The 27316-nt window shown below is 37.2% G+C and overlaps 2 protein-coding genes across 5 annotated transcripts in view, besides 3 other annotated features; one reads left to right on the top strand and one right to left on the bottom strand.

Moving 5' to 3' along the window:
- Nucleotides 1–27316, top strand: part of ARMC2 (armadillo repeat containing 2) — a 204619-nt gene that overhangs the window by 139279 nt on the left and 38024 nt on the right. Inside the window, exon 18 of one of the 2 annotated variants that reach the window (XM_011536168.4) lies at nucleotides 1099–3397. The exons of the other annotated variant lie outside the window; for it this stretch is intronic. Within the exon in view, the coding sequence (XP_011534470.1) occupies nucleotides 1099–1118 (20 nt within the window). The 3' untranslated portion in view covers nucleotides 1119–3397. Of the gene's footprint in view, nucleotides 1–1098; nucleotides 3398–27316 lie in introns of those variants that run through there. 2 annotated transcript variants of the gene reach the window in all.
- The window catches only part of SESN1 (sestrin 1), a 110538-nt gene that overhangs the window by 3392 nt on the left and 79830 nt on the right, over nucleotides 1–27316 (bottom strand). The window contains exons 1-9 of one of the 3 annotated variants that reach the window (NM_001199933.2): nucleotides 21659–21852; nucleotides 14578–14643; nucleotides 13588–13788; nucleotides 12791–12973; nucleotides 10813–11055; nucleotides 6762–6909; nucleotides 5087–5199; nucleotides 2945–3135; nucleotides 843–987 (exon numbers count right to left, since the gene is read on the bottom strand). In NM_001199933.2, the coding sequence (NP_001186862.1) occupies nucleotides 843–987; nucleotides 2945–3135; nucleotides 5087–5199; nucleotides 6762–6909; nucleotides 10813–11055; nucleotides 12791–12973; nucleotides 13588–13788; nucleotides 14578–14643; nucleotides 21659–21760 (1392 nt within the window). In that variant the 5' untranslated portion in view covers nucleotides 21761–21852. Of the gene's footprint in view, nucleotides 1–842; nucleotides 988–2944; nucleotides 3136–5086; nucleotides 5200–6761; nucleotides 6910–10812; nucleotides 11056–12790; nucleotides 12974–13587; nucleotides 13789–14577; nucleotides 14644–21049; nucleotides 21289–21658; nucleotides 21853–27316 lie in introns of those variants that run through there. The other 2 variants (NM_001199934.2, NM_014454.3) reach the window with 2 other exon arrangements.
- Nucleotides 21601–21980: a silencer, noted in NCBI's record as "silent region_17456". NCBI's record gives its function as "represses an Ori minimal core promoter by ATAC-STARR-seq in GM12878 lymphoblastoid cells {active_cell/tissue: GM12878}" and the evidence as "EXISTENCE:reporter gene assay evidence [ECO:0000049][PMID:35858748]".
- Nucleotides 22051–22100: an enhancer, noted in NCBI's record as "active region_24918". NCBI's record gives its function as "activates an Ori minimal core promoter by ATAC-STARR-seq in GM12878 lymphoblastoid cells {active_cell/tissue: GM12878}" and the evidence as "EXISTENCE:reporter gene assay evidence [ECO:0000049][PMID:35858748]".
- Nucleotides 22111–22230: an enhancer, noted in NCBI's record as "active region_24919". NCBI's record gives its function as "activates an Ori minimal core promoter by ATAC-STARR-seq in GM12878 lymphoblastoid cells {active_cell/tissue: GM12878}" and the evidence as "EXISTENCE:reporter gene assay evidence [ECO:0000049][PMID:35858748]".

Genomic DNA, 27316 nt, shown 5'->3' on the forward strand with positions numbered 1-27316 from the left:
ATGAACACATAAAATAAGTACACTTCCTACACTTCCTATGTAGTACAGCATAACTTAGCCTTGGGTTTGTTGAACAGATTATAAATTTCTCAAAACAGCAGCTATCTTTTTTTTTTTTTTTTGATGCACACTTTCACTCTTTCCCAGGCTCGGGTGCAGTGGCACGATCTTGGCTCACTACAACCTCCACCTCCTGGGTTCAAGCGATTCTCATGCCTCAGCTTCCCATGTAGCTGGGAATACAGGTGCATGCCACTATGTCCAACTAATTTTTTGGTATTTTTAGTATCACCATGTTGGACAGTCTGGTCTTGAACTCCTGATCTTAAGTGATCAGCCTGCCTTGGCCTCCCCAAGTGCTGGGATTACAGGTGTGAGCCACCATACCTGGCCTAATATTCTTTTTGGATAGATTGAGCTTTCATTTATATTTTATCATGTTTCTTGGAGGTTTGTTACATGTCAGAAAATCTAGACACTGTTTTATCAGAATAGCAACTTCCCCTGCCAAATCATTATTCAGTAATTTCTATAAAGATGTTTCAAAGAGAACAGACACTTCTACCTATACACAGCTTTTATAAAACAGTCTTCTATGTGCTGACAGCCATGCCAGCACTTCTGAAGACGGGCCAGCCCACCTGTGTTCCCTGTCTTTATTCTTTTACTCTATCAACATAATCAGGTTCCCTTCTGAAGGGGTACCTGAGACAGCTGTCCTGGAATGTTTTTCTTTGGGTTGGTAGGGGTGATGGAAAGGGTTTCAGCACCATTAGGTTAGGTGAAGGAGACTACGAATCATTGCTAAGTTACAAAGTAAATAAGCCACAATAGGCACATACCTTCTCAGAGTGCTTGAACTGCCTCCAGAAGCTATCATACATTCTTTTGGTAACCTTTTCAGGAGTGCAAACAACAGTTTTGATATAAACTTTAAAGCTACGATCCAATAGCTGGTTAATTTCACCATAGTCATAATCATCATATCTGTTGAAAGACATAATGAGAATTATGATATTTTCAGTGTATAACCTGTTTTCATCTTACAAAAGTATACACATCAATAGTTAATACTGTATTTTTTCTCTCTTTGTGTAGGCAGCTGTCCCCAAAAATGATAGAGCTTTATAACTGCAGATGAATAAGTGAGTATAAAGGGATAAGAAACAGAGTACTTAGGGAGACTAACATAACATTTTTTCTACTACCCAAGTAAATCATTCCTGAAAGCTGACAATATTAACATAGCACTGGGTACCAAGCAATAGTGTATATCTGCAATCATGAACACGTAGCCACACTGAGGAACAAACTATTATTGAGACGGAGTCTTGCCCTGTCGCCCAGGCTGGAGTGCAGTGGTGCTATCTTGGCTTATTGCAACCTCTGCTTCCTGGGTTCAAGCGATTCTCTCACCTCAGCCTCCCGAGAAGCTAGGATTACAGGTGTGTGCCACCATGCCCAGCCAATTTTTGTATTTTTAGTAGAGACAGGGTATCACCATATTGGCCAGGCTAGTCTAAAACTCCTGACCTCAAGTGATCTGCCCGCCTTGGCTTCCCAAAGTGCTGGGATTATGGGCGTGAGCCACCGCGCCTGGCTGAACAAATTCTGAAAACAGATTTTGAGTATTATCGAAATTAAGAAACAAATTAATTACATTTGTTATTGGTACTAGTACTTTCTCTCTCTCTATATATAGATAGATATCTCTAGATCTAGAGATATATATCTAGATCTAGATACATCTCTATATCTAGAGATATAGAAATATCTGTATATATATCTCTAGATCTAGAGATATCTATATATATATAGAGAGATATCTATAGAGATAGAGATATCTCTAGATCTAGATCTCTAGATCTAGAGATATCTATATATAGAGAGAGATAGAGAGAGATAGATATCTCTCTATATAGAGAAATTTACTTGTATAAATAAATAAAATAAAAATAATTAGAATTACTTTACTCATGTTTCTAGGAGTTTCTGGGGTCAAATGAGAAAAAAGGCAGGGGCTGCGAGGAGAAGGATGGTCTATACTTAGGAGAGCCTATCCTGCTTTAAGCCAAGATGGCTGCATGCACCAGTTGTGTGCGTTGCTCCACTGGGTAATGGATTTCCAATCACATAGGCACTGAAGTCTCCTATTGAGTTTTCAGTGGAAAGGGGACAAAGGTCTTGCAAAGCTGGTTCTACCACCATTGAGGAGGCTAAAGTCAATAGTCTGGCTACTGATTAGTGGGAAATTAGTTTAAAGTTGGTCAGCTGTACTTCAAATGCCAGATCCGTTTAGAGTAGATTAAATAGGGTTTGTAGGTTTTGACCAGAGTCTCTGATAATAGAAAGCCTGATTTTACAGCAAAAATAGTTAACTAGTAAGCACTGTAGCTCAGAGTTTGTGTGCATGTGTGAGAAGGTGGTATACAATGACTGCATTTTCAATGTAACATAGTAACATGGCTGAAAACCTAACAGCAAGGACATGAAAGTTTTGCATTTTGATTACGTATTATGAGAGCAAGTACTCCTCAGAAGGAGCCTAAGAACAGCCAGAGGGGCAATATAAGGGTACTGATTTCCAAGGAGGTAGAAACATAAGTGTATCAAGAGATAGATTATATGAAGAGAAAAGATACTAAAGGTGTTCAGTTACAAACTTTGTTCTAGGACCAGCTTGCTTGTCCTCCCTTTCCTGGAGGCAGCTGTCATTCAATTCTTGTCAAGGTCCCTAACTCTCCCTCCTGCCTAGCTAGGAAAGAGAAGAAAAAACTAAGCTGCAATAAAGTGGTTCTTTGAAGCATAAATAGCATAAAAATAAGTTATTGGGGAGGGGATGGGTTTTGATTATGTGTGTGTCTATGTGCATGTGCGCTCCAAGCACTTGAATAATTTGGCCCAGAGGAAAACATCTCTTTATAAACACAGAAAGAAGACTAACCTTATTCCAAACATGCAGTGAATATAGTTCCAAATTGCCCGTCTAAGCATTGAGGTATCAACATCTTTGTGCATTGCCATTGTATTATAAGTAAGATTGTAAGCAATGTGAAATTTTTCATCAATCAACTGTCCCACATCTGGATAAAGGCGATTTACCAAAGAATAACCATGATCTTCCCAGCAATAGTCCTAAATACAGGGAATAGAACAAATGTGAATAAATGTGGTCAAGTACAGTTCTATATCTATAGCTCTGTAGCATGGTAAAAATCATTGTCATTTGGCTGACAATCCAACTGGCTTTTATCCCTAACTCCCAGCTTCACTTACACTCCAATCTTTTTTTCAATTCCCATACTGCAACATGCAAAAGGTTGTGTTTTATAACTCAGTGAGTTTAAAAACTAATAGTCTCATCTCAAAAAAAAACAACAACAAAAAAAAACTAATAGTCTCTTCCCCTTACACATTGGCCTTTATGTCTTTCACTCTCTCTCCACTCAGCCCCCCAGATGTGACCAGCTTGGGAGTCCCCTCTCCTTTTCCATTGCTGCAGCCATTCAAGTGGTCTTCAAATTATGAGTGTGTGTGTGTGTGTGTGTGTGTGTTTTAAGAGACAAGGTCTCACTATGTTGTCCAGGCTAGAGTACAATGGTATGATCACAGCTCACTGCAGTCTCCAACTGCTGGGCTCAAGCGATCCTCCCTGCCTCAGCCTCCTGAGTAACTGGAACTATAGGCACAGGCCACCTTGCTTGGCTACTTTTAAAATTATTTGTAGAGATAGGGTCTTGTTTTGCTGCCCATGCTAGTCTTGAATGCTTGGCCTCAGTGATTTTCCCATCTTGGTCTCTCAAAGTGCTGGGATTACACGTGGGAGCCACCAGATCTGGCCAAATTTTGTGAATTTTTAATTAAACACATCTATCACCCATTCCTTCTCCTACCTGCACTTCTGCCTTTTAGCCCTATTAACTGAGTCTCCTAATTAGTTTTCCTATATTAAATCTCCTTGCCTCCTTTCTTTCCACCTGAAACAAAACTTAATAAGCCCCTACTTCTTTGTTGCTTTCCTAAAAACACCTCTTTGATAGTATGCCATCACGCTGGTCAAAGCCTACAAACCCCACATAATCTAATGTAAACTACTTTGACATTTAAGGCACACCTAACCAATTTTAAACATACACCACTAATCAGAAGTAGGAATCTTTAGCTTGAAGCTCTCAGCAGCCAACCAATCTCTTTATAATTCCTTCCTTCACTCTATCCCTCAACCTAAGCTTAATTATTGTCTAGTCTCCTCTACTTACAATACCCTTTTCACCATCCAAATTCTTCAAATCCTAATGTCCCTCCATAAAAAATTTCCAGCCCACATGATGTCTTCAATTTCTAATCTATTGCATAATTATTCTATAACTCTTCCTTGTGCCTAAATTTTGCCCCTTAGCTTATTTATTATTTTTTGAGACAGGATCCCACTCTGTCACCCAGGCTGGAGTGCAGTGGCTCCATCACAACTCACCGCAGCCTCAACCTTCCAGGCTCAAGTGATCTTCCCACCTCAGCCTCCTGAGTAGATGGGACCACAGGTACATGCCACCACACCTGGCTAATTTTATTTTATTTTTTATTTTTATTTTTTTTGTGGAGACAGGGTTTCCCCTTGTTGGCCAGGCTGGTCGTGGAATGCCTCGGCTCAGGCAATCCACCTGCCTCAGCCTCCCAAGGTGCTGGGATCACAGGCGGGAGCCATTGTGCCAGGCCCCTTAGTTTTTTGAGCAAAGAAACAAAATCTTATGGTTCTCAAATATTTTCATAATTCTGGTAAAATAGTTATTATTTAACACTGGCCCCTAACAATATTTGGGAACGCTGGGAGTATCAACTCATCTGAATTAAATACTTACATATTTAAATATTTACACAATAAAATTTTTAAGATATACATACATTGAAACTACAGTATGATTCCATGGATGAATTAGAAACAGTCTTTCACCTTTTATTCTGAAACAAGACGAGATACTGCCTGCAAAGCACTTAGCATAGTTCTCAAATCTAAGTGGCTGTTTTGTATTTTAAGTCAGACTGAGATATTTCTAGTCAATCATGTGCATACAAGTTGCAATTTTACCTGGACACGAAATGTTGGAACATGCATCCCATGTCTAGAGAAATCTTTATAGCCATAACTAGTATCCTCAAAATGACGAGATACAGCTCTTGCTGGTGTAACTTCTTCATCATCTGGGAAAAAAGGCCATTGAAAGGTTTTTAAAAATAGGATGCTAGTTAAAATTGATTTTACCCAAAGGAGTAAAAATGGCATAACTCTTTCTCTGATACTGAGTGACCAATATCAACCAAAGTAGTCTTACAATTATACAAAGTAGTTTACTTGCTAGTAAACAGAATGTAGTAAAAGGAGATTTTCTGTTATAAAATGAAAACTCATAGTTGAATTCTCTATGCCTTTTATTGCCTCTTTCATAGATCCTTTCTCTCTCCTCCCATTCCAATTTATATGTATTAGGTTCGACTTATTCAAAGTATGAACATACTTTTGGATAATTTTTAAGATAACTACAAAAATCAGCTATGCTCCAAAATTTAGCACTTAGATTATTTTTGTTGAATATTAATGACATATAATATGTAACATGATCAAAGAAAGAAATCCCATGGGTTAACATTTTTACAGTGCTGCCTGCACTGTGACTAAGACTTTCTGGACTATCATCATGTTTAGGAGTTGATGAGATTATAGTTTCATGTAAGTGTATCATTAGATGACAACTCTACATCTTTAGGCATGGAAACAAAAATTTTTCCTGGAAGAAAAAAAAGTGAACATCCAACCTCCATTTAAACAAATTTGATTGTTTCTTTGCTATTAAGAAACTCGGTGCTCTTTCTCCCACTCTATTATATTGTCAAAATACATCTGGAGACACTTTATAAACTTTTTCTCCTTTAAATTACCTGGTTTATATATTATCTCCTGTAGCCTGCATATAGATAAAGGTTAAACATAGAGGATTTAGGTTGTTGGTAATTTAATAAATATCTCCTTTTCACAAATCATATAATTTTTGTTGTTGTTTTTTTAGAGACAGGAGTCTTGCTATGTTGCCCCAACTAGTCTGGAATGCCTGGCTTCAAGGTGATCCTTCCACCTCAGCTTCTTGAGTAGCCGGTACTACAGGTACAAACTGCCGTGCCCAAAAAAATCACAGAATTTTAACTCTAGAAGCAATCTTGGGACTATTTCCTCATATTAAGGAAGAGAAGCGTGGGCAATATAGCAAGACCCCATCTCTACAAAAAAAATTAAAAAATTAAGCAGGCATGGTGGCATGTGTCTGTAGTCCTAGCTACTCAGGAAGCTGAGGCAGGATGATCGCTTGAGCCTAAGAGTCTCAGGTTACAGTGAGCTACAATCACGCCACTGCACTTCAGCCTGGCAACAAAGCAAGACCCTGTTTCTTAAAAAAAAAAAAAAAAAAAAAAAGAGAAAAAAGAGGGCACTCATATGTTAAGTGACTAAGCCAAGTTCACAAAGCTTATTAGAAGTAATTTTAGTGCCAGAATCCAAATTAAATGTCCTCCCCCTTAGTCTAGGATGTTTTCACTTATGACCTTTTCTTAGTTGCTTGCTTTAAAAATTATTTGTAAATAGGAATACCTATGCAATAGTCTCTCTAAAAGGAAGGACATATTTAGATTGATGCTTTAAAAGTTATTTAAATTCTCTAAATAAAAAGTTGAGTTTGCAATAATTATATTGACTATATAATGGTTGTTCTTACCTGAAGAGAAGACAAACATACTCTCTCTTTTTTCTATTTCAAAACGTGAAGCCATCTCTTCCTGACTTGCCTCTTCTTCATCTCGACATTCCTGTAACTGCCTCATCTTTTCCATGAGGGCTTCAACCTCAAAGAAAGAATCACTTACCTGAAGAAAAAATACAATTAATGTTACATGTGGCAGACATAGAATATATATGAATTATCTTTTAAGTCTGTCTCATAAGAATTTATATCTTTTTTTTTTTTTTTTTTTTTTGAGACAGAGTCTTGCTCTGTTGCCCAGGCTGCAGTGCAGTGGCGCGATCTCGGCTCACTGCAAGGTCCACCTCCCAGGTTCACGCCATTCTCCTGCCTCGGCCTCCCGAGTAGCTGGGACTACAGGTGCCTGCCACCATGCCCGGCTAATTTTTTGTGTTTTTTAGTAGAGACGGGGTTTCACCGTGTTAGCCAGGAATGGTCTCGATCTCCTGACCTTGTGATCTGTCCACCTCGGCCTTCCAAAGTGCTGGGATTACAGGCGTGAGCCACTGCACCTGGCCAGAATTTATATCTTAGTAGAATATAGGGAAAATATTCCTATAATTTTAATGTACATGAATGAATAAAAAACTACTTTGGCCTATTAGGAATACAGACATGCAGATTTTAAAATATAAGGAAAAAAATGATTTTAAGAACACATTCTAATGCTTTTACCTTATAAAATTAGCAATAATGTCATTACCATTTATGCTGTTTTAAACTACTTGTCAATTTAAAGCAGAACTGCGTAAGATAACTTCTACTTGCTTAATCTTTAAATAAATAAGATACACAAAGTATAAGTGATTTTGCATCAACTGTGTACACTGGGCATACATATTGTCAATGTGTCTATCATCTTTAATAATTAGCTTTATTTCTACAATTTACCAATTAAACATGAAAGATGTCTACATGGCTGGAGTTGGCCACCTGACCTCTGCAAATGGATCTGGCAGCTGTCACTTGCTGGGATGACTAGAGCAGTGTCACACATAGAGTAATGGGGCTGACAAAGGACTGGCCAAGTGGTTTTGCACTAGTCAAACTGGTTATACTTCTATACCCTGCTGCATTCTTGCTACAAAAGCTAGATCAAATCTATGCAATTTATACCTTTCTTATAAAATGAATATATTAAGAAGTCTGGGTTGGGCTAGTGGCTCATGCCTGTAATCCCAGCATTTTGGGAGACCAAGGCAGGAGAATCACTTGAGCCCAGGAGGAGTTCAAGGCTGCAGTGAGCTGTGATTGTGCCACTGTATTCCAGCCTGGACAACAGAGAGAGACTTTGTCTCAAAAAGAGAAAAAAAAGTCTTAATCTCAAATCTCAATGTATACATACAAAATTAATGTTTCCCCCCTTATAAATTTATTTTGCCAGGAATGCTTTTAAGACCTCTATCTTCCATTCTTCCTGGCTTCCACCCATTGATCCTTCAGGTAGCAGCTTACATCCTTGTAAACACTGTCATTTACCCCACAAGCTCCAATTATTCTAACACAACCCTCTCCTCTTTCCTTCAGAGGACCAATCATAATTTATAATTGTTACTCGCATGATATTGATTTAATGCAGGCTCCCTTCCCAGACCAAACCTTCATAAAGGTAGGAAATCTGTTTGGTTTACTTGTATATATCCCAAGCCTAGCATAGTACCTGGTACATAGTAGATATTCAAGAAATACTTGCTGGAGAATGACTCTCAGGATAATTCTATATTAAGAGACAATCTATATCACTTGTGCTTTACATTTTCTTTTGATCCAAACAGTTATACTGAAATGCCCAGTATTAAGCCCTTTCTCTAAGACTTTCATGATGGGAAGTGTTTCTATGACGATACTGAAGATTCTTGTGGTGCATGCATGCATTTTCCCCAGTTATTCCTGACATAGAGTCAGTAACCAAATAAAAAATAGCTGAAAAGGATTAGGTTTCATGACAGGATGACTCAAAGTTTAAAAAAGATCTCTGTCAACTCACATTATCTGTCACTAATTTATTTTGTTTACCTATTCTCCTCTTAAAGAGCCCAAATTTTAAGTATTCTTAGGAAAGGTAATTCTTGATAAATTATATTGAAATAAGAGGGAAAGGAAACAAAGTAGGTTTCTTTGTTCCTTCACTGATCTGCTAAAGTTGGGATTAAAAAAAAAATGGCATTTCATTTTAATATTAAAATGTTAAAATTGTGTAAGAAAACTCTTTTTTCTTTCCCTTTATAAATTACCCAGTCTTGGGTATGTCTTTATTAGCAGCATGAGAACAGAATAATACACCAACACTTAGAAGCAACCAATGTGTTCTTCAGTAGCTACTGGAATAAAGAAATGTTGCTACATCCAGAAAATGAAAAATTATTCAGTGCTAAAAAGAAATTAGGTATCAAGCCATGAACAGACATGGAAGAAATTTAAATGTATATTACTAAGTGAAAGAAGCCAATCTGAAAAGGCTACGTACTGTATGATTCCAACTATATAACATTCTGGAAAAGACAACTATGGAGAGAGTAAAGAAATGAATAAGTAGTTTCCAGGGTTGGGAGGGAGGGAAAATTCTTGTTTGTTACCATTTGTATCTGAAGAGCTGAGTCAGATACTGGATATGTACCTAAAGAACAAGCCATATCAGCTCACTGTCAAAGTGTCATCAGGGTAGGCCATAAACCTTCTAAAAGTATCCAACTTACCTGGGAATAGGAAGCTTATTAGAGAAATAAAAATTATCTTCTTTCACTATTCATTCTTTTAATAGAAGGAGAACTAGAAACAATCAAGTACTTTTTTCTTTAGCCTTGTACTAAATTATTGGTAGCAAGGAGAAGAATCCATCTCCTAGCATTCTAGCAACTGAATACTCTCTTGGATCCTCTTCTGACTGCCAAGCTTTGAAAAATAATCAGTGGCCATATGCAGGCCTATAACATGAATCTAGGCAGCTCAAAGGAGGGTGAAACTGATGGTCTTTGGCAGTCCTATGATCAACCTTGGGAAAATTATTCTTTCTTGTGCTAATTTCACCATATGTAAATGCTACCTCTTATTTAGCACCTGACAAATGCTAAGTGCTGTACTTGGCATTTTACTTCTTTAGAGACATTTCATTTAAACCTCACAATAACTTTGTGTTTTACTTTTATTTAGATACAAAAGAACTGAGATTCAGTAACTTGCCCGAAGTCAAATATATAAATTAAAGGCAATTCAACCTGTCAAATCTATTTCAAAGGGATAATATAACTCAGAAAATGCATGTAAAGCATTCAGATGGCTGTGGTACTGCTTCTAAAATTTATTTTTGAAGCATAAAATAAACCCTTGCTTTTTCACTACAACAAAAGAATGCAGAAGGAGATTTTGATTCATCATATACAGGAATTAAAATTTGCTTATAGAAAACTGAACTTGCTCTGTTTCAAAGGAGTAACAAAACTAAGAATATATAAAAGCCAGGAACAGAAGGAATAGAGGTGAAAGCATTTTAACACATTTACATTCACCTGATATCACCTTCTATATTGGTGCAAAGTTAAACATGAAAAAGAATTCTGAAGAGAGAAATTTCTAGATCAAAGTTGATTAAATCTTCTGAAATATAAAAAATTAAGAAGCCAGACTGTTTATTTTGTGCAAAAGAGAAGAATGTGATTGGCACAAAAAGTCTCCACCACCAGGCCACACTATTTTCAGCCTTCCCTCATGTCACTGCAGTAGCCAATCAATATTATTTGGTCCTGACGGGACACATGCTGTTGGCTCCTGATCCTAAAATTATCTAAATGTAAACTCCTACAGGGTCTTAGAGTTTTGTACATCACTTTTGTAAAATGTTGTATATCACCTAGACTAGTGATGAGCATGTGAGGCAGTCAATAAAACCCTACTGAATGAATAGATATAGGGGCCCAATATCTCCACAGTCTTAACAGGGTGGGTTTTTCTAAGAAGCCAACTGAAGAAATAATATAACAGCAATTATTGTGATTAGTTTTATGACAATCTCATGACAAATAATACTTACAGAAACATTTTCTGCTGAGTTGACCGGCATCTCATCCACACTGTGATTGCCATTTGTAATGTCACAGATGCAGTAGTTGCTAACAGAAGGAGGTCTGAATGTGTGGCCACCATCACAATGAATTTCTGGACTGATTCCACAGCCGAATGTGAATGAGGCAAGAGAATGATAGTGTGTGAGTAAAACTACTGCATGTACCAATTCCGCAAGGGACCAGCTGTGCTCTTCAGCTTTTAAAAGTCCCTTAGGGGGAAAAAAAAAAAGAATATATTTTTGTACTGGGGTGTGGTAAAAGTATACAGTTCATTTTAGTATTTAATTTATTGAAAACATGAGTCATCATACAAAGCCTAGCATAAAATTATCATTTGAAACATGTAGAACCCAGAATTTGCTAATTTTTATGAATATGCATTCACAAATAGAACTTAACATAATCTGTTAAGACATTCACTATTATTTTGATTTTCTGAAATATTGACTTAAAATGTAAGAGAATGCATTTTGCTTAAAAGTGGCTGCTGTATTTCAGATGCTGGATTATGAATGAATTACTGTGTTGTTAGTTCAAAATCTCAAAGCAAATGTAATAAATTTGTGTTTAAAAGTAGAAGCTGCTGTGTGAAACGCCTGTGCTTTGTTTATTATAAGGCCTCCTCAAGGAATTTTTAAGATAGTGGCTTGAACAACTTGATTAAATATTCCTAAATCATCAAAAAGTTATATATAACTTCTATAATTCTTCTATTCAATTCTGTGTCACTTCTGCTTCATTATCTATTTTGTAATCTTGTATAATTTTTCCTTACTTGACAATATATAATAGGCATTGTATTAATATATTCAAATCTTGTATCTTCTTGATAATATCTTTAATTATCTAATAGTATCTATTCTATGAAATAGATAAGACCAAAAGATGCATCTCTAAGAATTTATAGTGCATGGTAGACAATTTTAGAGAACATCAATCTACTTTTACTCTATTATCTCTATTAATAAATAGAACCAGAACTAGCTTAACATGGCATTTAAAACGTAACATAAAGATGCATAACAATGAGATGCCACTTCACACTTATCAGAATGGCTGAAATCCAAAACACTGACACCAATGCTGGCCAAGATGTGGGACAACAGGAATGCTGCTTCATTGCTGGTGGGAATGCAAACTGATACTGCCCTTTGGAAGAGTTTTACAGTTTCTTACAAAGGTAAACGTAGGCTTACCGTATTATCCACAAATCGCACACCTAATTATTTATCCAAATGAGGTGAAAACTTTTGTCGACAAAAAACAAGAAACAAAAACCTATACATGAATGTTTACAGCAGCTTTATCCGTAATTGCCCCAAACTGGCAGTAACCAAGATGTCCTTCAATAGGTGAATGGATAAACAAACTATGGCATAACTATACAATAGAGAATTATTCAGTGATAAAAAGAAATGAACTATCAAGTCGTGAAAAAGCATGAAGAAGCCTTAAATGGATGTTGCTAGATGAAAGAAGCCAGTCTGAAAAGCTACATACTTTTGTATGATTCCAGCTGTATGACATTCTGGAAAAGGCAAAACTATATAGAAACAATAAAAAGATGAGTGGTTGCAGGGGTTTAGGGGAAGGGGAAAGGGGGGGAAAGGGATGAACAGGTGGAACCCAGGGCATTTTTAGGGTACTAACTATTCCATATGATATTGTAATGGATGCGTGACATTAGGCATTTGTCAAAATGTGTAGAACGATACAATGCAAAGACTGAACCCTAATGTGAACTATAGAGTTACTAGTAATATATCAATTACAGCAAATGTACCACAGAAATGCTGTAACAGAAGAAAATGTGCATCTGTGGGAAGAGATTCAGGGGGTAGAAAATAGGAACTCTCTGTACTTTCTGTGCGATTTTTCTGTAATCCTAAAACTGCTCTAAAAAAGTCTGAAATGACTCCCAAGATATATTACCCCACTGCTTACCTCAATGTGTTCTTTGGTAATAAGCCAAGGTCTATGGGCTAACACTTTGTTAAGTTCTCCTAAATTCTGTAGTTTTTGAGGAGCATTCTCTAAACCATTGAGCCACTTGGGGTCCCCACCAACATGAAGGAAATCATTTACATGCAGGTTCACTAAGTAGGAGCACTGATGTCTTGCCGCAGCCTTAAAACAAAAAGATTATTCTAATTATAAATATTAAAACCTTGAACTACATATCCTTTTTATTTACAACATGCAAAAGAGCTAATTAAGTTTATTAGTATGTTTTCAAATTTTCCGTAAACTACAGAAATGCAGTTTTTATATAAACATTTTAAAAATTCAAATACTGTAAGAACCTTAGAAATATTCCAAGAACAAACAAAATATCTGATAAAAGTATTTGAACTTTAGACATTTTATCTATATACTTTCAGAACTTCAGATTAAGAAGAAACTTCAATTAAGGTGCCAATCATAAAATAATGGAATATTATTTACATCTTGAACAGGAAGCACCACTTATGTCAATGTGAACTATTTATAATAATGAAACAGAACTTGTGTTCTACTTATTTAATGAAGAATGGTTCTCAGCAATGTATAAATACTTGCTTCTTTTTCTGTTATACTTGAGAGCGTACTTATTTAAAAATAGGAAAAACAGAGACTGTGCAACAGGAATCATATTATATATCATAATCTAAGTATTTATCCCTGTGTTTAAAGCATTAACTGTCTCTTAAAGAGATTAATAAAAATAGGCAAAAACAATTTTTCACTGAATGTTTACAAACCATTATTCCAATGTAGTGACGATAATGTAGGGGTAACGGCCCATCCATTTGCAGTAGATAGTGCTGAGTTTTTAAGAAACTTTCTAAATATTGTGGGTGGAAAACCATCACTAACGTAATGTTATCCAAACGGCCCAAAGCAGCAAAAGAATCTGCAAATAAAGCATGCATCTGTGCGTCTTCACTCCCCACTTGGAGGATCTGTATAAATGAGAAAAACCATGGTTACTGAAATGGTAAATTGGTGTTAAGGGAAGAAAATATACATGCGCTACACTCTAAGTATCATTTAGAAGCAGATTAAATCTGGCTTAAGAAAGAGGGGTTACAAATTTAAACTCAACTGGTTGAAAGATACAGAAGAATAAACAGTTACATATTATATAGTAGGGGATAAACAACAAAGGCTGAACATTAAAGGCCATCTAGATAGGCTGCTTGCAGAGTTGGCCAGAATCCAGATAAAGAAGCAGATTTAGATTATCAAATTTGCAGAGCTTGCAAACAGACACTAAAGCCTTTCTTTACAAAACCGCCTACTCTCACTCAATTTAAGGAGAACTAAAATTAACTAATAGCATACACTTCTTATGAAAATAAAGCATAGATGCTTTTATACATATATAGAATTAAAGATCCAATCTAGCACTGATATCAGCCTGTGGAGACAGTCAAGACTAAGTAACTCAGGTTATGGGCACACCTAAACAACATCTAAATATAAGCAGATGTTGTATCACTGGTCAAAAACAAATCTTGGCTTTACTTGATTAAATATGGGTGTTAAAAACACATCATGAAATACTAGAAATCAACACAAGTACAACAGCTTTTTATTCCCACAGATTCACTGCCAAAGAATGATTAACTGCAACCAACTCTGACTAAAACATGTTGTTGACCAACAGTTCTTCAGATGCCAACATGTGGGTCATGAAAGCTCTTCCTTAAAAGCATACAGTTCACTATGTACTTTCACAAACAACGTACCTCCTTTTCTGGGATGAATCTGCTTGGTCCCTGTCCTAGTGGTCGAGGAATTCTAATGCCAAGTTCCTAGAAAAGAAAATTACACCATCTCAGGCCTTTGGCAGTAAACAAAATGAACTGAGGCTAAAGGAATGGGAGGGAAAAACAACCAGTCGAACAGAGACAGGCTTGTTTTGATGGTTTGTTTTCATGGCTGTATATACATACCAACTCTTCTGTTAGCATTACATAGCTAACAACAGCTTATAATACAACTCTGATTAAAAACAATAAAACCTGTTTCACTAAAACCAGAGTTTTGCATAAAGTACTTGGCAGAAAGTCTAGAACAGAAAGTTCAGCACATAGCAGCCAACCCTGTGGATCATCAGTGATACAAAATAAGACCAGTGTGTTTGTACATCTAAAACTCAACCAACCCAAATATCAATCCCTGTGCATCGTCAGAAAATGAAAAAGCAGTACTTCCACCTAGGTGTCTTAAACTAGAAAAAGTGTAATTATTATTACATCTAAAACAACACCTCACGGTTAGAATGTAAATTTATGAAAAATAAAAACTAAATTCACAAGAGACAGCACTACAGGGCATGTTTTCTCTGCAGTTAAATAATTTTAGAGAAACTCATTTTGTTTGTAAGTTTGCCTTAAATTAAGTTTTTTTTTATTTACAGGATGTCATCAATCTTGCCCATATTATATTTTAGAGAAGCTCAAATAATTGAGAAATAGTTTTCTGACATTTGACACAGTGACTCTAGAATCCTGTACCTTATGTGATGGTGTAGTATGGTTAACAAGAACTGAAAATCTGTTAGGGTTTCCTTTCCCTCCCTCACCCTCCCCATATAGTGTGTTTACAGAAACAAAACTAAAATAATATATTTCAACTTTTTGTTGTTTTGAGGCCTATGTCCTATCTAGTGTCATTTAAAAATTTTTTTTAGAATTTATACAATTAAAGATTAACCCCTTCACTCATATATATTATATATATAATTAAATACTCATATAATTCTACTCTCTCCTTACTGCTTTTAAAGTTCTTCATGATATAAACCAGATATTTTCCTTTTAAAGAAAAAAAGTGGGGATGGGGTGGGGGTGGGTGCACAGAGAGAAGGACATGTGTCAGCAATCCAAGAAATCTGGTCCCAGCAAATGAAAGTCTTTAAAGCAGAACAGGCTTTTAAAAATTAAGCAGGAAGGACAAAAGTGAAGGTAATCTTTATTAGGAGACATCAAGATTCAAAGTAGTTTATATTTGCCAACAGAATTCATAAAATAATATTTAAATAAAATAATCTTATACTGGAGGTTGGTGACTTCTCCCTGGTTAGTCCATCCTTACACTGAAGATAGTAATGCTTTAACATTATACCCTTCATTAGAGGAGGCACTTAATTCACTGGTCTGGCCACGTGTGTGTCTCAATTTTAACATCCTGTAATGAATGCCAGAGGACATCCCTGTTATTCAATATATAATTTTGGCACCAATAGCAGCCATTTATATACAATGATGACTCTTAGCTTTTCTAACTGCTGAATTTCTCATCCAATTACATACATTTGAAACAATACCTATTGGACAAAACTAAGGCTAAAATTAACATTTATCCCCTCTAATTTCTTTAATCTTGAAAACTGTCTTACTTAAACAAAATGTATTTTAGGAAAATGCCTGTTTCAAGGGTTTATTACTGTTTTATAACTAAGAGACTTGGGACTTTAGTATACGAAAAGGTGTCATTTCAAATGGGGGAAAATGAATTATTCAACAAATGATCTTGGGACAACTGGATAGCCATTCAGAAAAAAAGTGAAGCTGGAACACTATAACATGCTTTACCCCACAATAAATCAGAGTTAAATGTAAGAAAAAAATGAAAACTTAGAAAAAAAGCAAAAAACATTATAGTACTAGAAGAAAACACTCATGGAGTGCAGCAGGCCTAAGAATACCACAAAAGCCAAAAGTCATAAAATATAAGATTGATAAATTTAATGACATAAAAATAAAGACTTTCACATGGGAAAAATAAATATATACAAAGTCAAAAGTAAACAGAAAGCTAGGAATTATATTTGCCACTCAAATAACAAAGGGCTAAATTTTAAAGAAAGATTACTATAAATCAATACGAAAATCCCCAACAATCTTTTTTTTTTTTTTTGGAGACAGAGTCTCGCTGTGTCACCCAGGCTGGAGTACAGTGGCATGATCTCGGCTCACTGCAGCCTCTGCCTCCTGGGTTCAAGTGATTCTCCTGTCTCCCGAGTAGCTAGGACCACAGGCGTGTGCCGCCACACCTGGCTAATTTTTTGTATTTTTAGTAGAGACAGGGTTTCACCATGTTAGCCAGGATGGTCTCAATCTCCTGACCTCGTGATGCGCCCACCTCGGCCTCCCAAATGCTAGGATTACAGGTGTGAGCCACCGCACCTGACCAACAATCGTATTTTAAAAATGAGCAAACAACACAGTTCAAGGAAAAGAAAATACAAATGGTTGAAAAATGCTTGACACTCAAAACAACTGCAAGTTAACTATGCTGAGATACTGTCTTCCTCCAAAAAGATTGCTTAAGATCAAAAAGTTTGATCACAGGCTGTATTGGAGAAAGGGTAGAGAAACTGTCATTAATTGTTTATATATTGCTGATGAGAGTGTTTTGAAGTATGAGAAAAAAGAGTATAGAGAATATATTACTACAACCGCTAGGAAGGGCAATTTGTAATAGTGATCAAAATTAAAAAGTCCCATAGCCTTTGAATCAACAATTCCATCCTAAGTGTTAACCTACAGATGTGCTCACATTTGTGAAATGCCATACGTAAAAGGATAACCACTGCAACATTGTTTCTAATAGTACGAGGTTGAAAACAATCTCAGTGTTCAATAGAAGGCTGTTTCAATAAAGTTCAGCATGACCATATAATAGAGTAGCATGCAGTCTTTAGAAAAAATGAAGCACTTCTACATGAGTTGACTTTAAAAGCTCTTCAAGTTATATTACAATAATGGGGAAGGGGAGGAGAAGCAAAGTGCAGAATATGTATATATTATGTTATCAGTAGGCAGGAAAAAAAACCTCACTGATTCAATTTCTAGGCCTTTATCTTACAAATACATTAGCATCATGAAAGGTAGTTACCTTTTTAAAAATGTGGCCAGATTGACAGCACATAGGTTTAGAAACAAAGAGGTATACAAATTATATTATTCTGGTTTTATTTCTCTACCAAATATATAGTTTATATGCCAAATTATTATAAAACAATAGGTTTACAATTCCAAGAAGGTGGCTATGAATGCTTGAGAAACAGAGTATTTCCTATATTTATGGCAAGGGTTCTATGTAATTCTTGTCTTTGTAAGTCCATCCCTATTGCCAAATTTAGTGGGCATATTAATAACACTGTCTCCCCTCTTCCTTAGCCTCCAAATTGAAGAGTCCTAATCTGTAAAATAGGGATGATGACAAAATAATAATACCATCAATCCCAACTATGTGGGATTATAATCTATATTATAAACTATAGAATTTTACAAATTATACAAACGTGAGTCTTTTGTTATAGATTCTAGTCTTAGGTATAAGGTCTAACAGATTTGGCTGTCTAATTTCTCAGAAGTAGCAGAGGAAGAGAGGGTAAAGTGGGGTTTCTAGACTGTGGCTGGCACCCTAACACTAGTCAATGATATCTGAGAACCAAATTGCCTTTCAGTTTTCGGCTTATTTCTTGAATAACACTGAAAAAGCAACTAGGGCTCATGATAATAAATAGCAATAGCAGCAGCAGCAGCTAACACAAAGTATGAGCTGAGCACTGTTTTAAATTATACTACCTGTAAACAAAGAACATGAGTCTATGATACTAAAGTTTAGAAAGAGTATTTGGTGTTCTACAATATTCATGAAAAAGTCAAGAGTCTTAGATTAATCCTTACCTTAATCTATGAAGCAGGTACTATTATTATCTCCATTTAGCATAACTGATGAAAGCCCTGAGATTTTTTTAATTTTTAAAATTATACTTTAAGTTCTAGGGTACATGTGCACAATGTGCAGGTTTGTTACATATGTATGCATGTGCCATGTTGGTTTGCTGCACCCATTAACTTGTCATTTACATTAGGTATATCTCCTAATGCTATCCCTCCCCCCACCCCCTACCCCACGACAGGCCCCGGTGTGTGATGTTCCCCACCCTGTGTCCAAGGAAAGCCCTGAGATTTGAACCCAAGTATTCTAGCTCAGTCAGTACTAGTGAGTGGTGGAGACGGGGGCTGAATCAATGACATCTGGTTCTAGAGTTGGTATCTTTCATTATTATTCTTTTGAGCCTCTTTAAGACTTCTTGATACCTTGGAGATTCTTACAGATACCACTGTTATTATACAGTAGTAGTCTTGGTTTATAAAAAGTTTCCATTTTCTGGAAAACTCACTTTTGAAACACTTCTTGGTCACATGTTAAATTGGTTACAACTCTTTTCTAGTAGATGCTGATCAAAAAAGGCACTGCGGGTGTTCAATGGGGTGATCATAAGCCAAACTAAATACATTTCATAGCTTCCTATTTAGGTTAATTCAATTATTCCTTCATCTGTAGCTGTAAGAAACTTAACTACAGACTTTGAACAAATTTTGGCCAATCCAGATTCTAGGAGACAGAACTGCCACCAACAAATGGCCTTGTTGAAAAGCAGATGTAGATACTAATCACAGCACTAACCTCACAGGCTCTCTGTGAAGGTGTGGCTGGAAGATTAACATGAGAACAATCTTTTCCCCTCAACAACCTAATAACCATCTTTGAAAGAGACAACAAGTTTCCACCATCACAATATTACTTCTGATGTTTCCTCAATGTATAATGCAAAACACTAATTTTCAGAGTGAAAATTCGTAGTGAATGTTGACAGTAGTACCACAGAAAGACTATGTTTTTATTGTATCACTGTATGAATCAATGTTTGTGTACTGAAAAGTACTGTTCCAGTCAGATGTTTCAAATTTGTGAGATACATTTATGCATCTGTATCAATATCCTTAAGTGAAATAATGAATGAATGACAAGTGCAAAATGAAAGCATTGTTGGCTTACAGTATCTACCCACCTGCAAAATTAGTTGAGAAGTAAAAATACACAAATAATTTGAATCATTTTGTTTTCCTCGCTACACTATTACTGTTGTGATTATCACAACATTCACAGTAATTTTATTTTTTAAATTCAAAAGCAGCATGTGTTTTTTGAAAAACATTTCAACAAGGTAAAGATATGTTATATAAAAAGTGAAAGTTCCCATCCCACTCGCCCTTCTCTGGGAGATTGCCTATAGCTGGGTGCTGGCCTTTCGACATTCAAAAAATTTAAATAGAAATGGAGAGATCTAGAAGTGTTAGAAATATGCCTACTATAGCAAAATGTACTAACAATTATGTTAATATTGTCATTAATACTAATAGGTAATTCAGAAATACTGAAAGTCCAGGTACTTTTTTTTTTTTTTTTTTTTGCCTTCTATGAACTATATTTTAGAAAAAAAACTTACTGACTTTAAGTTACTGCATTTGTAATACTTAGGCCATATTTGTGCCCTATACTTTGCTCAGGAGTTCCGTTTCTTGAAAGTGTTTAATTTAAAAGCATTATGGAAGCTAGCTATTTGAAAGAATTGTGTTATTCTTTTTGTAAAGTGAATAGTTTTCCTATAAAGCATTCCTTCCTAAGTTATCTTCTCACATGTTGGGATGTATTAAAAATGAAATACAACTATACAAAGCTTCCCGGTTTCCTCAACACAATCCCATAAGCGCTGTAACAATATGCAAGCCAAAATCTATTTCTTTATCTTTTAGTTTACAAAGCTATCTTTAGAAATTCTAGATCTGAGCAAGAACCAGGACTCTGCACACAAACATCAGCAGAAATAACAGATCTATTCAAGCATGATGATTGGGGCTCACTTCTACTCAAAAAGAGAAAAGATCTATTATGACCCGCAAACAGAAACTGTAAATGTTAATTCAATACTTTCATACTGTTTTCACTTTTTGGTAAAGTTTCCAAAGCGATACTGTAAGAGATTTTTAAAGATTGTTTTATTATCTGTAAACAAGGAACATCTAATATGTCCATAAATGTTAAAATCTCAAAAAAATATTTGGTGCTTTACAACCTTCATGACAAAGTGTCTTCATTTAAGTTTCTATGAATATACATAGTATACTGATAATAGACTCCATTAAAGAAATCACGAAACCACGTCATTTTAGTGAGTAAAGCTGCAGAAAAAATAATTCACATTTAGATTTCTTGAACTAAGGCAACACTCTGACAGCACCTGATTTCAATCCAAATTTAAGGTTCGAGTTTTACCTAAGGTTACATTAGTAACTTTCAAATGGTTTCCTATTTGCAACCACTTAGAAAAAAACACAAAATGTTACAATTAAGTACCTCTTTCTAAAGGACAATTCAGAAAAGGGATGGCTTAATACGCAAGAGTAAACGCTGTGCATAACGTCATAGAGCTTGCAGGACACACTTATTCCAGGCAACATCATCTCTTCCCTGAGTCAAATGTGTTTTTTTTCTTTCTCTCTCTTTTAAGTAGGAGGCAAAGGGGATGAAGGTGGCTAAATAATCTGTTTTCACAAGACAAGACAATCGAGGGGGCATATCCACAGGCTGTTTCACCCTCAAGACTCGAGGTCTGCTGGATTTCTGACTTGTGGAGACTTGTCCAGACGACAATGTTATTTACGTATTGGAGACTTTCATTTACATGACCGCGGCCGCAGTCTCTCCCAGCTTAGCATTTTCTGCCCAGGGACGACTCACGGTGCGCAGGTCTCCCACCCACCGCAGGCAACCCCTTCCCCCGAGGGGCGCAGGAGGGCCGGGACGCTGCTCCCCGGGAGCCCGCCCTATCTGGGGAGCGTTTTCGGATGCTGACCGGGAGCGACTGTGAGGAGGCAACGTGACCTCCGTGTTGCACAGGGCAGCTCGGCCGGGTGCCCACCCGCCCAGGTACCCAGCGGCCCGCTCAGCCCCTCGCCCAGGTACCTCGTCCTGGTCGCGGCCCCCGCCGCACTGCTTGCAGCCCAGCAGCCCCGAGACCGCCAAAGGGGCCGTGTACGCCTCGTTCGCGGCGGCGGCCAAGCGCATGTCGGCGCGGGGACGGCTGCGGACGCGCGGAGGCGGCGAGCGCTGGGCAGCCGGCCGCGGCTCCTGGCTGCAGCGCCTCAGTCAGCACGGACGGCGGGGGGGCGGGGCGGCGCCGACAAACAAGCCGCGCGGCCCCGCCCCGCGCCCGTCATTTCACCGCCCTGGCGGCCACGCAAGCCAATGCGGGCTCGCGTCCCCGCAAAGCACCGCCCCTCCGGCGCGGAGGCTGGGAACTGGCGGTCTGACGCGGCGAGGTGAAAAATCACCTTGGGGGCCCAGGTTCCCCACGAACAGCTAATTCTCAGGTACGGAATGGGCTCTGGAGGGCCGCGAGGTGAGCGTGCACTGTCAGGAAGGTGCAGCACGAGTCTTCGGGCTTCAGGGACAGGGGAATCTGCCCCCTACACCCCTGCTCGGCCATTTACCTAGAACCAAACAGCAGCCAACCTCGAGACTGATTCTGACAGCACCAGGAGTAATGAAGTTCTCTAAATTCGATAAACTATTGAAATTTCCCTTCTTCCTTTCCCATAATGCCCAAACGACGCTGAATCGGCAGCAGAATGCAGGACTTTGGCCTATAATCAATGCAAAATTCATTTTGCTAAGCTACGTAAAAGCTATAAATATCACTCCCCTACACAGATAATAAACCTTGGTAGCCTATCTCTGAATCGTCTTTTTTCCTCTCAAGTATATTCGAAGGCTTTACAATTTCTAATATTCCTTCATAAGCGCCCTCCCTGGGTTATAAAGACAGAATTTCAATCTCTGAAATCGGATGAGGAACTTGGGAAAATACAGGTTACAAAGGAGAAAAACAACTGACATTGTTGGGCCCAGAACCCAGATCCCTCCAGTCCTGTGTCAGTACTATTTCTTTACATAACTCTATTCTCTCTCTTTAAAAGAAACAAATTCCTAAATTAGATCTCTTTTTGCATGTTTATGCTGTTTTCAAAGCTTAAGTGCTCAGGTTAAAAAACAAAAAAAGTTGGAACATTCTGACAAGGAAACAAGTGGAATTTATAGCAGTAGTTATGGCCACAGAACAGGACTCATAAATGAAAATAAGTTTCAGTCTTAGAAGTGACGCTACCGTGTCTCAGTGAAAACTAAGTTACTCTTTTAGCTCTTCAACTATCATGTTTAAAGTGGCATGTCAAAATGGTTACTTTTTATTTATCTCCTAATAAATAAGATAAATGATATATGTTCTCTATACTGCTTTTAAAAAATAGCTAATGCACCCAAAATATTTTTTACTGGTCAAAAGAAGCAATATTGAGTTAATGTCGATATAGAAGAAAAGGCTACAGAGGCTTCCAAGCTCTCATCCACTGAGCACAGCCACAAAAACAAACAGTACAATCAAATGCCCACTCAGCCGTAAGCAAATACAAAAACAAAACAAACCCAGTACATCATGCAATTTGCAGCAATATGACATACCCTGCAAGATAAACTGGTTGTAAATGAATGAGTTGGACACATAAATGCACTTGATGTATGGGATTGTGAGCTGCAAAAGCTAGTTAGGTAGAAGTATGTGAAAAATGATGACTCTGGTTCTAGAAGAGTTGAGGTATGATTTTATTTCTGAAGGAATCACAGTTTTAGTTGTCTAGTAGGGCATAATCTTAGTTATGACATTTGTAAAATGAAGAATGCTTATCTTTCCATTTTCTAATGAGAGGCAAGGGAAAAGCATGCATTCAGTTAAATCAAAAGTGGCTTAAAATAAGTAAATGCAAGTGAAAACTGCTAACTGCATGCATATAGTAGGCTGATACTTAGTGCTTGATAAATATTTATTGAAGAAATATTTCAGATATACTGAAATTGTATAGGAAGCTCCAATTAGGATTCCTTTTTCCCCCAGATAGTTTCAAATTATTATTTAATGCTGCCTTATGTGAAAAGAAAAATAATTTTAATTTAATATTCTAATTTAGTGGTTTATGGAGAACCTTCAAGCCATTAAATGTCAAGATTCCTTTATGGTCTCTATAAAGACTGACCTAAATTCCTCAAAGAGTACTAATTTCTTGTTCTCTGCTATAGAGCACTAGAGTGAATTAGTCACTCTATTCTCCAACATAAAAAGGTTGCCTCCAAATAAATTTACAGTAACCAAGAGTTCCAACAAATGTATTTTTAAAATTTTTTTTCTTTTTTTTTTTTTTTGAGACAGAGTCTCGCTCTGTCAGCCAGGATGAGTGCAGTGGCATTATCACAGTTCACTGCAGCCTTGACCTCCAGGGCTCAAGTGATCCTCCCACCTCAGCCTCCTGAGTAGCTGGCACTACAGGCAGAGGCCACCACACCCGGCTACTTTTTAAATTTTTTGTAGAGATAGGGTCTCATTATGTTGTCTAGGCTGGTCTCAAATTCCTGGACTCAAGCAATTTTCCCGCCTTTGCCTCCCAAAGTGCTGGGATTACAGGTGTGAGCCACCACACCCAGCCCAATAAATGTATTAATTAACCTGCATCTATCATTGTGCAGATTTAACTTTTGAAATGTTTTGTTTCAAACAATTCAATAAAAAGTATTTTCCAAGGATTTCGAAGGTAGGCCTGATGTTCTGAAGGTGCTGCTCCTCTCAACCTCTAGGGCTGAGCACATACAGGCATGCGATAAACATCTGCTGAAAAGATGAACATCCTGAACACAGAACAGTGATTACAAAGGGCTGTGTTTTTGATATTTACCACAGGTTGTCAGTACAGGCCAGAGCTACCTTACAAAGTCTGCTATTTAAACATTTAATTTTGATATTTCTTTTTTTTTTTTTTTTGAGACGGAGTCTCGCTCTGTCGCCCAGGCTGGAGTGCAGTGGTACGAACTTGGCTCAGGAAGAATCCTGACATTTAATCCAAGAAGTAATAGTAATTCTGAAATATTTCCTTTCTTTTAAAAAGATTTTGGTCAACTTACTCAACTGTATCAAAGTGAGGTTCATTGCCTCTACATCTGTCCTTAGCAGTAATGCACTCAGCCTTATTTTTCTGAAGAGCAAGCTGATAATCTATGTAAAAGCAGAGTGGTGTCAAATGACTTGATTTTAACAGAGAACTATGAAATATTAGGGGACTCTGCACTTGGAATGGTGGTTCAAGATAGGCTTCCTGAAGGAAAAAGACACCTGAGCTACAGCTTAGAGTATTAGTAGAGAGGCCTTGGAAAGAAAATTTGGGGGAGAGTTTGGGAGAATAGACACAGAGTTCTAAGTAAAAGATCTAGCATATGCAGAGGCCCAGAAAAAGGAAAGAGTGATCCATTAGGGAAGCAGAATACAGGAAGCTCAATGGGTCTGGAAAAGAGGGTAAGGAGAGTAACGGAAGGAGTTTAGGTAAAAGATAAGCAGTAGGCCGGGCGTGGTGGCTTACGCCTGTAATTCCAGCACTTTGGGAGGCCGAGGCAGGGCGGATCACAAGGTCAGGAGCTCGAAACCATCCTGGCCAACATGGTGAAACCCCGTCTCTACTGAAAATACAAAAAAATTAGCTGGGCGTGGTGGTGTGCGCCTGTAGTCCCAGCTACTCTGGAGGCTGGGGCAGGAGAATTGCTTGAACCCGGGAGGCAGAGGTTGCGATGAGCCAAGATCGCACCATTGCACTCTAGCCTGGCAACAGGGAAAAAAAAAAAAAGATAAGCAGTAATGAGGGAGTGTTAAGCTTCATTAAAGAATACGGATTTCATTCTTAAGGGTACTGTGGAGTTACTGAAAGTTGTAAACTGTAGAGTGACATCAGATTTGCATGTCAGCTAAGGTTTGGAAAAATATATTGCAAGGGGCAAAACTAGGGGCAAGGAGATGAGTTAGGCTGCTGAGGCAATCTTGGCAAGGCAAGAGGGCAGTCTTCGGAACAATGGGAAGGGAGAGAAGTGTAGAAGATGACAGTGGATTCTGTCTCTCCAGTATGGTAGTTAAGTTCCTTGAGGGAGGCAATCATGCCTCAAACTCTTGTTTTTGAAATTTAGGAGATAAATCTCAGATTATCTGCTCTCCTGACCAAGTGGCTTCCCTGAGCGCATTAGGTCTTTAAAAAGTATAATCAATTCATGACAAGGAATAGATATATTTTAGTAGAAAAAGCAGTAATTAGGTTAAAAGGCATAATCATACTTTTATGGACCACATGTTAAACCCTGTACTATAGATTTGCACATCTCCTCATTGGAATCAGAATTATACTTAATGCAGTAATTGGTTAGAAAACATACAGTAATGGTTTTAGCCATTAAACCAAAGAACTCCTTTAAGAGTGGGAGTGGGATTTGTTACATTTATGTGGTTTAAGCATTCTTGAAAAATCCCCTATTGTCATTTAAAACGTTTCATTTAGAACAAATGCTGGTTTATAAGACTACTTCTGCTTACTAATTTTGTCTAGATTTTTCTCCTCCAGCTCATATCTTCCTGTTTTTATCTACATAGCTTGTCTGCTAAGCACTTTTTCCCTTTTCAACATCATGTTTTGGGTACATTAAGATCCTTTTAGCACTGAACTTTAAACTGATCCTCTTATTTGCTCTATACTTTTTTTTTTTTTCAGTTCTTCAATTTTTAGAATTATATCACTTTAAAGGAGCAAGAATGTTGACAAGTCTTTGGTATTTTCCTCTCATTTAGAGTTTCCTCTTTTAGAAATGTAGTGTTTTAACTTTCTACATAGCTGTTTAGAAATATGAGGCATCACCAATATTTGTAAATAAGTAGTATTCCAAGAAGTGTCAGTGGTTTTAAATTTAAAAGTTGCTTTTACCCCAAAATCAATGTGTTAAATAACGGTCAGGTTTTCTAGGCTGATAATAATAAGACCAGTAATTTGTTAACTCCTGTGTATCAGACACAACACTTTACATGTATAAAGCAGATGTAATTATTTTTATTTTACAAATTTGTGACATAGAAACTAAAAGTATGGGCAACTTGACCAAAGTTATAAAACTTGTAAAATTCAGCCTGGAATTAGAACTCAGGTCTGTCAGAATCCAAAGCAGCAGTCACTATATGAGGTTGCTGCATTTACCGAATATATATTTACAATTTTGATAACTGTGTATTCACCTAAGTTCTTGATTCTGGAGGCAAGAAAAGAGGGTAGAAAGACAGAAAAATTTATCTCCCTTGCTTTTACTCAGGGTGAGTTTTTTTGTTTGTTTGTTTTGTTTTGTTTTGTTTTTAAGAAATCATGGAATGGGTGATCTTGGGCTTTGAGAGCTTCTCTCCTCCATATTTCTGTCACTCCTCTCAGTGTCTCTTTCTGGGCCTTTGGTGGCCTCATGCCACCCAAAGCCTGTTCACTACATATCTCATCTGAATCTACCCAACCTCCTACATGTTCCTCACATGACCCCCGTTTCTCAAAAAGTGGTACGTTTTAGGAAGAAAGCTGGCTTCTCAAACAAATCACACTAATTTTGTAAGTTACTGATACCTCCTATTTATTTATTTAGTTTGTCTCAATAGGATATAAGCTTCATAAAATCAGAATGTCTGTATTTTTGGTTTACTGCTATATTTCCAATGTCCTAGTGCCCTGCACA

This window comes from Homo sapiens, chromosome 6 (genome assembly GCF_000001405.40).
Source record: "Homo sapiens chromosome 6, GRCh38.p14 Primary Assembly".
In the NCBI taxonomy this organism is placed as follows: domain Eukaryota; kingdom Metazoa; phylum Chordata; class Mammalia; order Primates; family Hominidae; genus Homo; species Homo sapiens.